This window comes from Homo sapiens, chromosome 21 (genome assembly GCF_000001405.40).
Source record: "Homo sapiens chromosome 21, GRCh38.p14 Primary Assembly".
Lineage (NCBI taxonomy): Eukaryota > Metazoa > Chordata > Mammalia > Primates > Hominidae > Homo > Homo sapiens.
In genome coordinates, this window is record NC_000021.9 from 39,490,741 (window position 1) to 39,505,736 (window position 14,996).

The window sequence follows — 14,996 nt, forward strand, 5'->3', positions numbered from 1 at the left end:
TTTTTTTTTTTTTTTTGAGACAGTCTCACACTGTCTGGAGTGCGGTGGCATGATCATAGCTCACTGCAGCCTTGACTTCCCTCCCAGGCTAAAATGATGCCCCTGCCTCAGCCACCTGAGTAGCTGGGACTACAGGCATGCACCACCATCCTCAGCTGATTTTTAAATTTTTTATAGAGAGAGGGTCCTACTAGTTGCCCAGGCTGGTCTCAAACTCCTAGGCTGTAGTGATCCTCCCTCTTTGGCCTCCCAGAGTGCTGGGATTACAGGCATGAGCCACTGCACCCGGCTGGTCTTGAGCATTTTAATTCATCTTGATAATCTGTTATAAATCAGAGTATTTAGTTCATTAACAATTAATCATTGACATAATTGTGTTTAGGTTTACTATTTCTTTATTTTTTCTATTGGCCTCCATTTTATTTATTTATTTATTTATTTTATTTTTTATTTTTATTTTTAGAGACGGAGTGATCTCGGCTCACTGCAACCTCCGCCTCCCAAGTACAAGCGATTCTCCTGCCTCAGTCTCCCAAATAGCTGGGACTACAGGCGGGTGCCACCACACTGGGCTGTTTTTGTATTTTTAGTAGAGACGGGGGTTTCACCACGTTGGCCAGACTGGTCTTGAACTCCTGACCTCAAGTAATCCACCCGCCTTGGCCTCCCAAAGTGTTGTTGGGATTACAGGCATGAGCCACCACGCCCAGCCCCATTTCAATTTTTATTATTTAAAAATACAATTTCCATTTTATTTTTCTCCAGAGAATAGTTTTTCTTCAGTCTTCTAAGGCCTCAGCTACTTACATGGGCTTTGGTGGGGGTCGTGGGGCAGCACCCGCAGGTCTAAGTAGGGGTGGAGGTGTTCGGTCCTTGCAAGCTTCACGAGATTGATTCCTCACTACTTTGCTTTAATATTATAAACTGCACAACTCACACAGTAATGTAACTTCATATCCAGCTTGGGAAGCACATAGGTGTCGAAGAAGCTTGCTTAGAAATGTCCCTGACTGCTGTGGCCTCCACTTTGTTTCAAATGACAAATTTCTTAATGGCCTTGTTCTTGGGCACACATCAGGTATAGTTCGTGCAGCAAATAGGCTACACGTGGCCATGGCCCTTTTTGGTATGACCTTTGTTCCTTCTTTTATTTGTCATCTTGGAGGCACAGACTGGAGCTGGTCTCCCATTTTTATTCCTCTGTTGTATGCTTTTTTGCTTTCTTTTGGGCTTTATGAATGTGTTTTAGACTTCCTTTTTAACTTATCTATTGTATTTTTAACTATGCCTCTTGGCATTATTTGGTAGTGGTTGTTCTAGTGGCTATAATATGTATGTATTTTTTAAGTTTTTTATTTCCATAGGTTTTTGGGGGACAGGTGGTATTTGGTTACACAAGTTCTTTAGCGGTGATTTGTGAGATTTTGGTGCACCCATCACCCAAGCAGTGTACACTGCACCCTATTTGTCGTCTTTTATCCTTCACCCCCTTCCCACCCTTTCCCCCTGAGTCCCCAAAGTCCATTGTGTCATTCTTATGTCTTTGCGTCCTCATAGTTTAGCTCCCACTTTTGAGTGAGAACATACGATGTTTGGTTTTCCATTTCTGAGTTACTTCACTTAGAATAATAGTCTCCAATTCCATCCAAGTTGCTGCGAATGCCATTAATTCATTCCTTTTTATGGCTGAGTAGTTTCCCTTGGTGTGTGTGTGTGTGTGTGTGTGTATATATATATATATACACACACACACACACACCACATTTTCTTTATCCACTTGTTGATTGATGGGCTTTTGGGTTGGTTCCATATTTTGGCAATTGCGCATTGTGCTGCCATAAATGTGTGTGCAAGTATCTTTTTTGTATAATGACTTCTTTTCCTCTGGGTAGATACCCAGTAGTGGGATTTCTGGATCAAATGGTAGTTCTACTTTTAGTTCTTTAAGAAATATCCATACTGTTTTCCATAGTGGCTGTACTAGTTTGCATTTCCACCAGCAGTGTAGAAGTGTTCCCTGTTCACTGCATCCACGCCAACACCTATATTTTTTGATTTTTTGATTATGGCCATTCTTGCAGGAGTAAGGTGGTATCACATTGTAGTTTTGGTTTGCATTTCCCTGATCATTAGTGATGTTGAGCATTTTTGCATATGTTTCTTGGCCATTTGTATATCTTCTTTTGAGAATTGTCTATTCATGTCCTTAGCCCACTTTTTGATGGGACGTTTTTTCTTGATAATTTATTTGAGTTCATTGTAGATTCTGGATATTAGTCCTTTGTCAGGTACATAGATTGTTAATATTTTCTCCCATTCTGTGGGTTGTCTGTTTACTATGCTGACTGTTCCTTTTGCCGTGCAAAAGCTCTTTAGTTTAATTCAGTCCCAGCTATTTATCTTTGTTTTTATTGCATTTGCTTTTGGGTTCTTGGTCATGAAATCCTTGCCTAAGTCAATGTCTACAAGGGTTTTTCTGATGTTATCTTCTAGAATTTTTATAGTTTCAGGTCTTAGATTTAAGTCCATGATCCATCTTGAGTTGATATTTGTATAAGGTGAGAGATGAGGATCCAGTCATTCTCCTACATGTGGCTTGCCAATTATCCCAGCACCATTTGTTGAATAGGGTGTCCTTTCCCCACTTTATGTTTTTGTTTGCTTTGTCAAAGATCGTTGGCTGTAAGTATTTGGTATTATTTCTGGGTTCTCTATTCTGTTTCATTGGTCTATGTGCCTATTTTTATACCAGTACCATGCTGTTTTGGTGACTATGGCCTTATACTATAGTTTGAAATCAGGTAACATGATGCCTCCAGATTTGTTCTTTTTGTTTAGTCTTGCTTTGGCTATGTGGGCTCTTTTATGGTTCCATATGAACTTTAGGATTGTTTTTTCTAGTTCTGTGAGGAATGATGGTGGTATTTTGATGGGAATTGCATTGAATTTGTAGATTGCATTTGGCCGTGTGGTCATTTTCATAATATTGATTCTACCCATTCATGAGCATGGGATGTATTTCCATTTGTTTGTGTCGTCTATGATTTCTTTCAGCAGTTTTGTAATTTTCCTTGTAGAGGTCTTTCACCTCCTTGGTTAGGTATATTCCTAAGTATTTTATTTTTTTGCAGCTATTGTAAAAGTAGTTGAGATCTTGATTTGATTCTCACTTGGTCACTGTTGGTGTATAGGAGAGCTACTGATTTGTGTACATTAATTTCATATCTGGAAACTTTGCTGAATTCTTTTATTAGTTCTAAGAGCTTTTTGGAGGAGTCTTTGGGGTTTTCTAGGTGTATAATATATATTCTTAACATCTCACAGTCTACTTAGACTTAATGTTATAACACTTTCATGTAATATGTAGAAACATTGCCATCATATGCATCCATTGACTGTTTCCCATCCTTTATGCTATACGATCATGTGTATCACATTTCCATATACCATTAACTCTACTATGTAATATTCCCATTGAACAGTCTTCTTCCTCTTCTTCTTCTTCTTCTTCTTTTTTTTTTTAAGTAGGAGGTAATCTTTTGTGCTTACCCAGACTTTTAAATTTCTGATGCCTTATGAAGAGTGAAGTTTCCATCTGGTGTCATTTTCTTTCAGCCCAAAGAACTTCCTTTAGTCCTTTAGCATTGTTTCATAGTGAAGGTCTGCTGGCAATAAGTTCTTTACTTTTCTTTTATCTGAAGTGTCTTTACTTTGCTTTCATTCTTGAGGGATATTTCACCGGATATAAGATTCTTAGTTGACAGGTTTTTTTCCTTTCAACACCTTGGATGTGTTTTTTTCCCTTCTGTCTTCTGATCTCCATAGTTTCTGATGAGACATGATCTTGTTTCCTGTAGATAGTGTATGATTTTTCTCTGGGTGCTTTTAAGATTTTCATTTTATCTTTGGTCTGCAGCCATTTGATTATGATATGCCTACCTATGTTTTTTTTTGTGTACTTATTATTATTGGGGTTTTCTGAGAGTCTTGAATCTATATCATTTACCAAATTTAGAAAATTTTCAACCATTATATTTTCAAATATTATTTCTGCTCCATTTGTTTTCATTTCCCCTTCTGGCACTCTAATTACATATATGTTAAATCTTTTGTTATTATTCCACATTTCCCTAAGGCTTAAAATTTTTTCAGTCTTGTTTTTCTTTGATCTTCATATTGGATAATTTCTATTGATTTATTTTAAGTTCACTTATTTTTGTATTTGTCATTTTCATTCTGCATCCAGTCTAGTAATTTTTTTATTTCATATATTGTATTTTTCAATTCTGAAATGTTACACTTGTTTGATTTTTTTAATTTCTATTTTTCTATTGAGAATCAGTTGTTTCGTTCATTGCAAGCATGTTTGCCTTTACATCTTTGAGAATAGTTTAATAGCTGCTTTAAAATCCTTGTCTGCAAATTCCAGCATCCAGGTCTTTTCTGTGTTGGTCTTCATTGGTTGTTTTTTTCTCTTGAGAATGAGTAACATTTTCCTGGTTCCTTGTATGTTAAGTATTTTGGATGGTATCTTGAACATAGTGAGTCTTGTGTTGTGGAGATTCTGTATTTTGTTACATTCTTCTGAAAAACATTGACTATTGTGTTTGTTTCAGCAGGCATTTACTTTGTTGGACCCAAACAGCAAACTCTATGTTTCTAGTAGCAGCTATCCTATTACTTAGGATACTTTCAGTTGTACCAAGATCAATCTCAGTTATGAATCAGAGGGTAAAAGTCTCTTTTTTTTTTTTTTTGAGTAAAGATCTTGCTCTGTCACCCAGGTGGGAGTGCAGTGGCATAATCATGGCCCACTGCAGCTTCAGACTCCTGGGCTCAAGCAGTCCTCTTGTCTTAGCCTCCCAAGTAACTGGTACTATGGGCATACATCACCATGCCTTGCTAATAAAAAAATTTTTTTTTGTAGAGGAAGGATCTTGCTATGTTGCCCAGGCTAGTCTTGAACCCTTGGCCTCAAGTGATCCTCCCATCTAGGCCTCCAGAGTGTTGGGATTACAGATGTAAGCCATCATGCTCCTTCTGAAAAGTCTAAATAAAATATTAGCGAAATATATTCAGAAGTGAATTAAAGATAATTCACCATCATCAAACAATTTATTCAGTTGCCATAATTCATTACATGAACTGATTAATGGAGAAAAACCATATGATTGCACCTATAAATGCCAAGAAGATATTCGATATAATTTATCAGATATTTCTAGTTAAGAATGGATTAAAATATAAGTAGAAAGAAACAAAACATAAAATACATTTATCAGAAGGTAATTATAAGTATCATAATGAACCATGCAATACTGAAGCATTTCTATTAAAATTAGAAGCAAGATAGGCATGCCTGTCATCACCATATTATTAAACATTGTTTTAGGAGCCGTAGTTATTGTAATAATGTAATAATGTGTAATAAGTCTTATGTATATAAGACATGGATAAAATTTAAAATTATCTTTATTTGGCCGGGCGCGGTGGCTCACGCCTGTAATCCCAGCACTTTGGGAGGCCGAGGCGGGTGGATCATGAGGTCAGGAGATCGAGACCATCCTGGCTAACAAGGTGAAACCCCGTCTCTACTAAAAATACAAAAAATTAGCCGGGTGCGGTGGCGGGCACCTGTAGTCCCAGCTACTCGGGAGGCTGAGGCAGGAGAATGGCGTGAACCCAGGAAGCGGAGCTTGCAGTGAGCCGAGATTGCGCCACCGCAGTCCGCAGTCCGGCCTGGGCGACAGAGCGAGACTCCGTCTCAAAAAAAAAAAAAAAAAAAAAAATTATCTTTATTTGCATATGATATAATTGCATGCCTAAAAATCTTTAAAATTCCAGTGAAATGCATTAGAATTGATAAGATGGTTTCTTAAGTTTCTAGATGAAAGAAAAATATACAAAAATTTGTAGGTTTTGTTTACATCAATAATTATAAGTAGTAAGTTAAAATGTAAGAAGGAAAAGTATCCCATTCATGGTAGTGATAAAAATCTGTAAAATGTTTAGGAATAAATTTATCAAGAAACATACAGGGCCTCTGTGAAGAACATAGTTTAATTTTATTCTGAAGGACACTAACAAATACTGAAGAAATAAACCTGCAGTGTTCCTGGATGGAATGATTTAACAATAAGGAATGAAAATTTTCTAAATTAATAAATGTTTAGTGCTATTTCAATCAAAATTCTATTTTTTAATTTTTGGAACTAAGAAACATTATCTTAAAATGTATTTGGAATAATAATTGTCTGAGAGGAGCCAAGAAAATTTTGAAAAATACTTTGTGTAACAACTTGACTTTCCAAATATTAAAATATGTCCTCTAAGCTACAGTGATAAAAGCAGTATATTGGTCTTGGAACTAATACATGTATTTATATGTATATCTGAGAATATATTTATATTTATATGTTTATATAAAATATTTTAATTTTTATTTTCATTGTATCAGTATTTATATATAGGATAGTGTAGAAACATCAATTTATATATATTATAGTAAATGACAAATATATAATCTGAATGTAATGGGAAATGATGATTTATATATAATATAGACATAATTTGCCATCTGTCTGGAAGAAAACAAATGTAGACGTCGACTTTACATTATATGCTAAATTAAATTCCAGATGGATTAAAGCTCTAGATATTAATAACAATATAAAGTAATAGAAGCATATTTTAGAGAATAAAAGTTAGATAAATTTGCCCATAAAAAGACTAAAAACTAAAAAAAATACAACAAAATCTGTAAAAACTGTAGACTGGAGGAAAACATTTGTAACATGACAAAGGACTAAAATTTTTAATATAGAAAGATACTCTAAAAATTTATAGTAAAGCACAAACAACTCAAGTAAAAATGAGCAATGCATTCACTGCAATGTCTACAAAAAAGAAAAAAATCAAATAAAATGGGCAAAACATATCAAGACAATTATTTGAAGAGGAAATAGAAATAGCTAAAAATTTATAAAAAATATGCCCTTATTTCCAATAATGATAAATGTATAAGTGAAACCAAAAATGAAATTCTATTTTCTTCTCAACATATTGGTAAACATTAGAAATAACAATCATCTTCACTGGTTATGAGGATAAAGGAGAAGGAGACATTCATATATCGCTGTGGGGATATGAATTGCTGCCACCTTTTTGAAAACTAATAAGAATAGCCTCACCATTTTATTCAGTTTAGTACAGTGTTATTTGTGGTGGAAGAAACATATAAACATTTGGAACACCCATTGACTGGGAAATGTTTGAATAAATTATCGTATATTTAATATGAAGCAGATGTTAAAAAGAATGATTCAATAGGATCAATCATATGAATTGACCTGGACAAATGTCCATGGTACATTGAGCTAAAAATGAAGTTGTGCATACTGTGTTCCCATTTCTGTTTCAAAACCACAAAAATAAAAGAAAAATGACAATCAATTCCCCCTTAAAATAGCTTTTATGTATTAGGATGCAGAGGTACCGTATCACATTTTTAATACTGATTATCACAGGAGGGTGGGATTGGAGGGTGTGTGTGTGTGGCTTAATTTGCTCCCATGAGCTTGCAGAGCCTCTGTAATAAAAATAACCTGATATTTTAAAAGGCTGGGACCCATTTTGTAAGTTAAAAGAGCATCAGGGAGGAGGTGTAGACCTAGTCCTTCCCCTAACTCACAATGTGACATTTTCTGCCTTTATTTTCCTGTCTCTGAAGTGTGGGTGGTAATGACTGCCCTACCTACTTAGTGAAGATTAAGGATGAAGAGAAATATAGTTTGAATAGTTAAGACATTGAAATGCAAGCTATTATCCTTAAGAAAATTCTCAAACACTCTCACTTTACATAATGCGGGTGACAAAATCACCCAAGGAAGCATCGTCCCTTCCCAATGGTGATGTAGTGGGAGAGGCACTGAGCACCACAGAGGTAAACACTGGTGTCTCGAGCCATCGTCCCCATGCCCGTTTCCTCAAAATGTCTACTTGGTCCTAATCTCTCTCTCTCTCTATCCATCCACCTGTCCATCTATCATCTATCTATTATCTATTCATCTGTCTAATCAATCATCTATCATCTGTATCTATCCATCTGTATTAGTCTATTTTCATACTGCAATAAAGAACTGCCCAAGACTGGGTAATTTATAAAGGAAAGAGGTTTAATTGACTCACAGTTCAGCATGGCTGGGGAAGCCTCAGGAAACTTAGTCATGGTGGAAGGTGAAGGGGAAGCAAGGCACCTTCTTCACAAGGCAGCAGGAAGGAGAAGTGCTGAACGAAGAGGGAAGAACCCCTTATAAAACCATTAGATCTCGTGAGAACTCACTCACCATCATGAGGACAGCATGGAGGAAACCACCCCATGATTCAGTTACCTCCATCTGGTCTCTCTCTTGACATGTGGGGATTATTGACATTATGGGGATTATAATTCAAGATGAGATTTGAGTGGGGACACAAAGCCTAACCATATTATCATCCATCCATCCACCTATCTATCATCTGTCTATCTGTCTATCTATCTATGTCTGTCTGCCTGCCTACCCATCTGTTTGCCCATCCATCCATTCCTCCGTCTGTCTGTCTGTCTCTGAACATTATCCATCCATCCATCTATCCATCCATCCATCTCTCCATCCATCCATGCATCCATCCATTTATCCATCTATGTATGTTTACCTGTCTACTTTATCTTTCTACCTTATCTATCTTCTTAATTTTTAATCTCTAAAATTATAAGCCTCCCTCCATACAAGCAATAGAAAACACTGTGTAAAGATAGAATTCTTCTCCTCATCAGCCTGAAGTGGGTGAACTGAAACTCCTCACTTAGGCAGTTTGTTACCCTGCAATGCACATAGGTTGGATCTTTGACTTATCCCAGTCGGCATTTTGGAGTTTGGAGATCCTATGCTCTAGTCGCTAAGTGACCTAATGAGTGGGCAGTCTATGTTTGCTTCATTTATATACTGTGTGTCTAAATAAGAAAGCCACAGCATATGTGGCCTGTTTTTTTTTTTCTTTTTTCTGTTTTTGAGCTCATATCCTGGGTTTCCTTTATGACCAGGGATCAGAGAAGGCTGAAGAAGGTGGAGAAACTGAGGCACAAAAAGAGGGCAGTGAAGATGTGGGCAACCTCCCTGAAGCCCAGGAGAAGAATGTGAGTTTTCGCTTTTTCACAGCAGTTTGACTGGATTCTCTGCTGTTCGAGACTTTTACAGGGCTTGTACAACTTGACTCTGGGCACAAGCAGTCAGAAAGAGGGCAAGGAGCTGAGAGTTTAGCCAGGGAGGAAGCAAGTAATTTCTACTGATGTGTTAAGCACTGGAATCCTGGTGCAGAGAGGGCTAAAGGGAAGACAAAGGAGCCTGAACCCAGACCAGGAGGGAGCCGGCTGGACAAGGCTTGGAGAATTTGTTGTGGTGGTGTTATGGCTAGGTTAGGTGTATGCTCTTTATAAACAAGGGACCTTTCTGCTTGATCATGATTAATGACAGACTCCTAGCTTACACCCACCCAGGAGCCCTGCCCAGTGGGGAAATAGAGCTAAGGGAGTGCAGTATATCTGGCGGAAGACAAGAGGAACTTGAGGATAAAAAGGACTCCTTGGGGAGGGAAATTGACACTCAGTTAATTTAAGTTCAATCAGGGAAATAGCAGATCTTGGTGAAGTCACATGATTAATTCTAAAGGGGTTCCCATGCAGTAGCAGCAGGGTAAGGAGTGGGCAATGTTGGGGGACACTGTGGTTCTGTGAGTGCCAAGCTGACATAATAGGGGATGGGATGGGCCACTTCTTCAAGGAGTTCTGAAAATGTGCTGGGAAACCAGGCGCCAAGGAAGGAGCCTGGTGGGGCTGGGAATGGGGTGCAGGCATTGTTCTGGGCCTCCTTAGAGGAGAATGTTAGAGGGCTTCTCCACTGGGTCAGTTGTAGCAAAGACTATTTTTCAAACCCTGATGGTTTGCTAATTTATTTATTCTGGGAGAGGTGTGGGAGCTTTTATGAGAGCTGGATCCTCATTCACCAGATAGAATGTGGCTAGAAAGGGGCTGAGACCCACACCCACGCTATGGAAAAAGGGGTGTGGGGCTGGGCATCCATTTGTCTTTACCTCAAAGAACTTAAATTGGGAGGGGCTAGGGAAGGAAATTCCCTGATATTTAGACTTATATTTGAAGTAGACTGCTATTTCAAAATGTTGATATTACAACTCTGAAGTTTTTGTTTTAAAGAAAGACAAAATCTTCAATCTTGACCTAGAAGTTAGACGGTGTTTCATGGCAGCCTGTATAATTCAGAAACAATACTTTAAAAATTAAATATAGTGACCATTTCATTATCTTGTAATTAAAACATAATCTGTTTCACAATTTGAACTTTGCATGAGTTGCCTAATGCACCCTTACAGTCATATTGATGAATACTTTGAAGTTGAGTTTGCTTCTTTTAAGACATAGAGACAAAGATGAAAAGCATTACACCCCAGCCCCTTTCTCCCGTGAGACCAGCAGGAAGGTAGCATATTTATAATCAGATCCTGCCTCCTATAGCCAGGGTGGGCTTTGCTTCAGCTTCTCAGCCACTGGGCTGGGTTAGTTCTGTGAAGTGATGAATCACCCAGCTTGGACGTTCTCTTTGCTACTACATTTTAAAATTGTGAGCCTTTGACAAAGTCAATTATAATCTTGTGAATCCTGGTAGGAATTAAAAAAACCATTTTTTGTTATTTTTGTGTGGGCTATGGTGAAGAAATGACCGTAAGTGAAAAATATTTTTATTTTATATGAATATATTACTAACATCATATTATCAAATTTACTTTTCAACTCTTTAATGCCATTTATCCTACAGAAAGACAGATTCTGACTTCTTCCTGTTTGAAAACCAACACATGCTCTTTGATTTACTTTAATTCAATTAAATTAGAAAAACCCTCTGTGATTGTCAGTAAACAGATGAAAAATGTTGTAAAAACATGATTAACCCTTATGAGTGTATATGAAAATAGGCTGAATTTTAAAATTTAAGAAGGAGACAAACACCACTTAGATATTTAGAATGCTTGCATTTTGTGCTTCAAGAACCTACTGGCTTGTTTTGACGGTCTCTGGTTTGTTGTTAAAAGCTGAGATGGGGCCGGGCGCATGGCTCACGCCTATAATCCCTGTACTTTGGAAGGCAGAGGTGGGCAGATCACTTGAGGTCAAGAGTTTGAGATCAGTCTGGCCAACATGGTAAAACCCCGTCTCTACTAAAAATACAAAAATTAGCTGGCTGTGATGGCGCACGCCTGTAATCCCAGCTATTTGGGAAGCTGAGGTGGGAGGATCGCTTGAACCCGGGAGGCAGAGTTTGCAGTGAGCTGAGATCGTGCCACTGCACTCCAGTCTGGGCAATAGAGTAAGACCATCTCAAAAAAAAATTGCTGAAATGGGAGGACATTGTGGGCTATTTGTAAAGGCATCTCTCCTCCCAGGGCACCCCAGGCATAGACAGGCTGACAGGGAATCAGAAAGACAAGGGAGAGCTCTGTGTGTTTTGAACATTGATTTTGAAAGTATGAGACACATCCTAGTAGTTTCATGTAGGTATGACACCTCAGATAAATCCAAGGCTTTCAAACTCCTGGCTCCGTTGAAACCATCTTGAGGCTATTTCTTTTTGCTCCTCTTGGCTTGCTGTGGTTAAAACAGAGGTGCTCCCCTGGGCTTCCCTCATTAACCAACACGCTGCGGTGGATATAAAGTTTAGAATATTCGTGGGCCCACATTTGGTTCCTAAGACTCCTGGGCAAGGAATGTCAGCTTCCTTTATTGCTTTAAATTCCCTCTATCTGCTCCATGTGCCCACCTCATGGCTGGCAGGAGCTTCCAGCTGGGTGGGGTGTTTTGAAGACCCTGTCCTCCTGAGGGTCTCACAGCCATCCTGGGGTCGTTAGTGGTGACTGGGCAGGGATTGGGTGCTGGTTGTCTGTGGTGGTGTTTCTGCTGTCTGTCCCTTGGCATGGGCCAGACCCTCTGTTCTGGCTGGACACAGACTGGCCTTTCACAGTGGCTGGCCTTCTGACCGCGGACGCTGCTGCCTGTACAGAGTGCCTTGTGTTACTTAAATGCCCCAGCGGTCCCTGGCTCTGTTTCTGTGTATGAGCAGGGCCTGGGCAGTACCCCTCCTGGAAAATCCTTCTTTCCTCCCCAGTCTGGCCACCTCCGTCTTGCCAATTCCAAGCTCTTTTTTTTTTTTTCCTCAGGGACCGCCTAGCTTTATCACCCCATTAGCCTAAGGTTTTGAAAACCAAGGTCTATACTTTCTTCCTTAGGGGTGGAAAGCCAGAACAAATAGGTCGCCTGTGGGAAGAGAAAATAACTCTTACTCTGACCCCTCTACCCCCTCAGCTTTGTGTAGCAGAAAGAACAAGTCACAATTCATATCCTGGCCTTCAGCCACACTTATTATGAGAAGGAATAAAAACAGTTTTAAACATTTTATTCTGAAATAACTATAGACTCACAGGAAGTTTCAAAAATAAGAGTCTTGTGTGCCCTTCACCCAACTTCCCCAAATGGTGACATCTCATCTAGCCTTAATGAAACCAGAAATGCAATGCATTGGTGCATTTCTGTTAACTAGATGACAAACCATATCAAGTTTTTACCTTTTTTTTAAAAAAACCTGCCTTCATTTGTGTGTTAAAAACAATTGTCATGTGTGCAGTAAAAACACAAAACGAGCAAAAAACCTCTCTCCAGCACCTGGCAATGTTCAGTTGAGTGATAAACCAGGTAAATGCCTAAGTCAGGGACAGGCTTATCTGATCTCTGCTATGAAACATGCATACTCAATGCACACTTGTAGGCACTCATACAATTCCATTTAATGGAGAGGAATATTTACCTAATGTTTGACATTGATTAAAAAAATCAACAGAAATGGAAACAAAAACTATTATCTTCTTTAATGATATGGACTTCCCCTGACCACCTCCTCAACTTCCAGGGTTCTTAAAGACAAGATGCCAAGATGTAAATTCTGTCCTTGATAAAGGATTGAGGCAGGAGGACTTGGGAGGTCAGGAGGGTGAACACCGAAAAGACCATGACTTCATGCCTAGGAAGATCTTACCTGTAACTTTAGAAAATAGGGGACCTCATGGGGCCTGGCCTGATAACCCAGGGGAGGGTGAGGGGCTAAGGAACCGGCGCCTCAGGAGTAAAGGAGGAAAACAGAAAGTCAGCTCAGCTTCTGGGCATTCTCTAAGAAATGAACTGCAGACTGGGACATCATGAGAGCTTTAGAAAATGCTGGAAACATTGCACCTTGTGCAGGTTTGGTTTGTGTTTTTTGATCAAGGTACAATTATTTAAAATTGTATGCTTTGTGAACCCAGTCATCCTATCTGAAAGTCATGAGGCCCTTGCTTGACAGATAACATGATTATGGTCTGTAACCACCCCTCTCTGGCTTCCTCCAATAGCAGTCTTGAGAAAAGTTTCAAGGGGCAAACATTGATGTAGGTTTGTGGGAGGAGTCATGGGTCTCAGCCTGGGTCCCTGGAGTGCCTGCAGCTCGAGAGGACTCTGCCTCTGTCCTCTCATCTCTAGCCGCTCTGAGGCTGGCTGCCCTTGCAGGTCACGCTGGGCTAGTCCTTCACTATCTCCCACACCTGCCACCTGTTCCCAGTGAACGCTGCCTGGCACTCACCACCACGGACACCTGTCCTTAGTTCTGGCCACGCACCACCTCTGCAGTCTGCTTTTCTGGCCAAGTTTCCAACAAAAATAGCTGCTGTGGAAGGTTCTAAGACTTCCCACTTCTGAGGTTTCTCTCTTCTGGCTTTCTCTGAAAAACAAGGTGAAATTACTTTAAGGTGTATGCTTCCTCAAATGGTGATTATGTGAGATCTTGGCTTAATTGACTGGATGATTATAATTATCTTAAAAAAATGCTTTTGTGCCTATAATTACTTGCCAGCCGTGAAAGTCAATTCAAGCATTTTACATAGATAACTTTTAAGGATCTGCCTAATTCCAGTATTTTATAATTCTATGAACCAAGGTTGGAAGCTTAATTATTATTATTTTTATTTATTTATTTTTAGAGACAGAGTCTCATTCTGTCACCCAGGCTGGAGTGCATTGGCATAATCATAGTGGGCTCGAGTGATTCTTCCACGTCAGCCTCCCGAGTAGCTGGGACTATAGGCACAGGCCACCACACCCAGCTAATTTTTACATTTTTTGTAGAGATGGGGTCTTGCTCTGTTGACCAGGCTGGCCTCAAACTCCTGGCCTCAAGTGATCCTCCCTCCTCAGCCTCCTAAAGTGTTGGGTTTACAGGCATGTGCCACCACGCCCAGCCATTATTTTTAAAACTAATATATCCCACCTCATTCTATGGGGGATTTGAAGCTGAGCTGGAGTAGCATTACACAAATGCAGTCATTCAACATTTTATGGGCAGATTGAGTGCTGCCACTTGCCAGGCAGGACTCCAGGGACTGTGGAGGGAGCAGTGAAAATGACAGAGTCACTGCCCCCACAGAGCTTATGTTCTGGGGAAGCTTGTGGTGGTAATACCCAAAGTTCTTCCAAGCTTACTTATCCTTTCGAGGCTAAGTATTTTTATGCATTCTCTGAGCAATCACTTCCCCTGAGCAATCACTTTCCCTGCTAAACATATCTTTTAAGAAATTAAGGTCAATTCAGATATTGATAAAGAGTGCTAGGAGCCAGATGCGGTGTCTCACACCTGTATTCCCAGCACTTCGGGAGGCTGAAGCGGGTGAATCACCTGAAGGTCAGGAGTTTGAAACCAGCGTGGCCAACATGGTGAAACCCCATCTCTACTAAAAATACAAAAAATTAGCTGGGTGTGGTAGCGGGTGCCTGTAATCCCAGCTCCTTGGGAGCCTGAGGCAGGAGAATAGCTTGAACCCAGGAGGCAGAGGTTGCAGTGAGCTGAGATTGCGCCATTGCACTCCAG

General features: G+C 39.5%; 2 protein-coding genes and 1 pseudogene across 8 annotated transcripts in view; 2 read left to right on the forward strand and 1 right to left on the reverse strand.

Moving 5' to 3' along the window:
- GET1-SH3BGR (GET1-SH3BGR readthrough) overlaps positions 1 to 14,996 on the forward strand; it is a 135,179-nt gene that overhangs the window by 110,415 nt on the left and 9,768 nt on the right. For all 3 annotated transcript variants that reach the window (NR_146618.2, NM_001317744.2, NM_001350300.2), the window contains one exon: positions 9,083 to 9,175. Coding sequence is in view for 2 of the 3 variants with exons in the window: in NM_001317744.2 (NP_001304673.1) it covers positions 9,083 to 9,175 (93 nt within the window). In the remaining variant the exon portion in view is untranslated. The remainder of the gene's footprint in view (positions 1 to 9,082; positions 9,176 to 14,996) is intronic.
- SH3BGR (SH3 domain binding glutamate rich protein) overlaps positions 1 to 14,996 on the forward strand; it is a 69,642-nt gene that overhangs the window by 44,876 nt on the left and 9,770 nt on the right. For 3 of the 5 annotated variants that reach the window (NM_001317742.1, NM_001001713.1, NM_007341.3), the window contains exon 4: positions 9,083 to 9,175. The exons of the other annotated variants lie outside the window; for them this stretch is intronic. In NM_001317742.1, the coding sequence (NP_001304671.1) occupies positions 9,083 to 9,175 (93 nt within the window). The remainder of the gene's footprint in view (positions 1 to 9,082; positions 9,176 to 14,996) is intronic. 5 annotated transcript variants of the gene reach the window in all.
- On the reverse strand, positions 736 to 1,178 carry RPS26P4 (ribosomal protein S26 pseudogene 4; annotated as a pseudogene).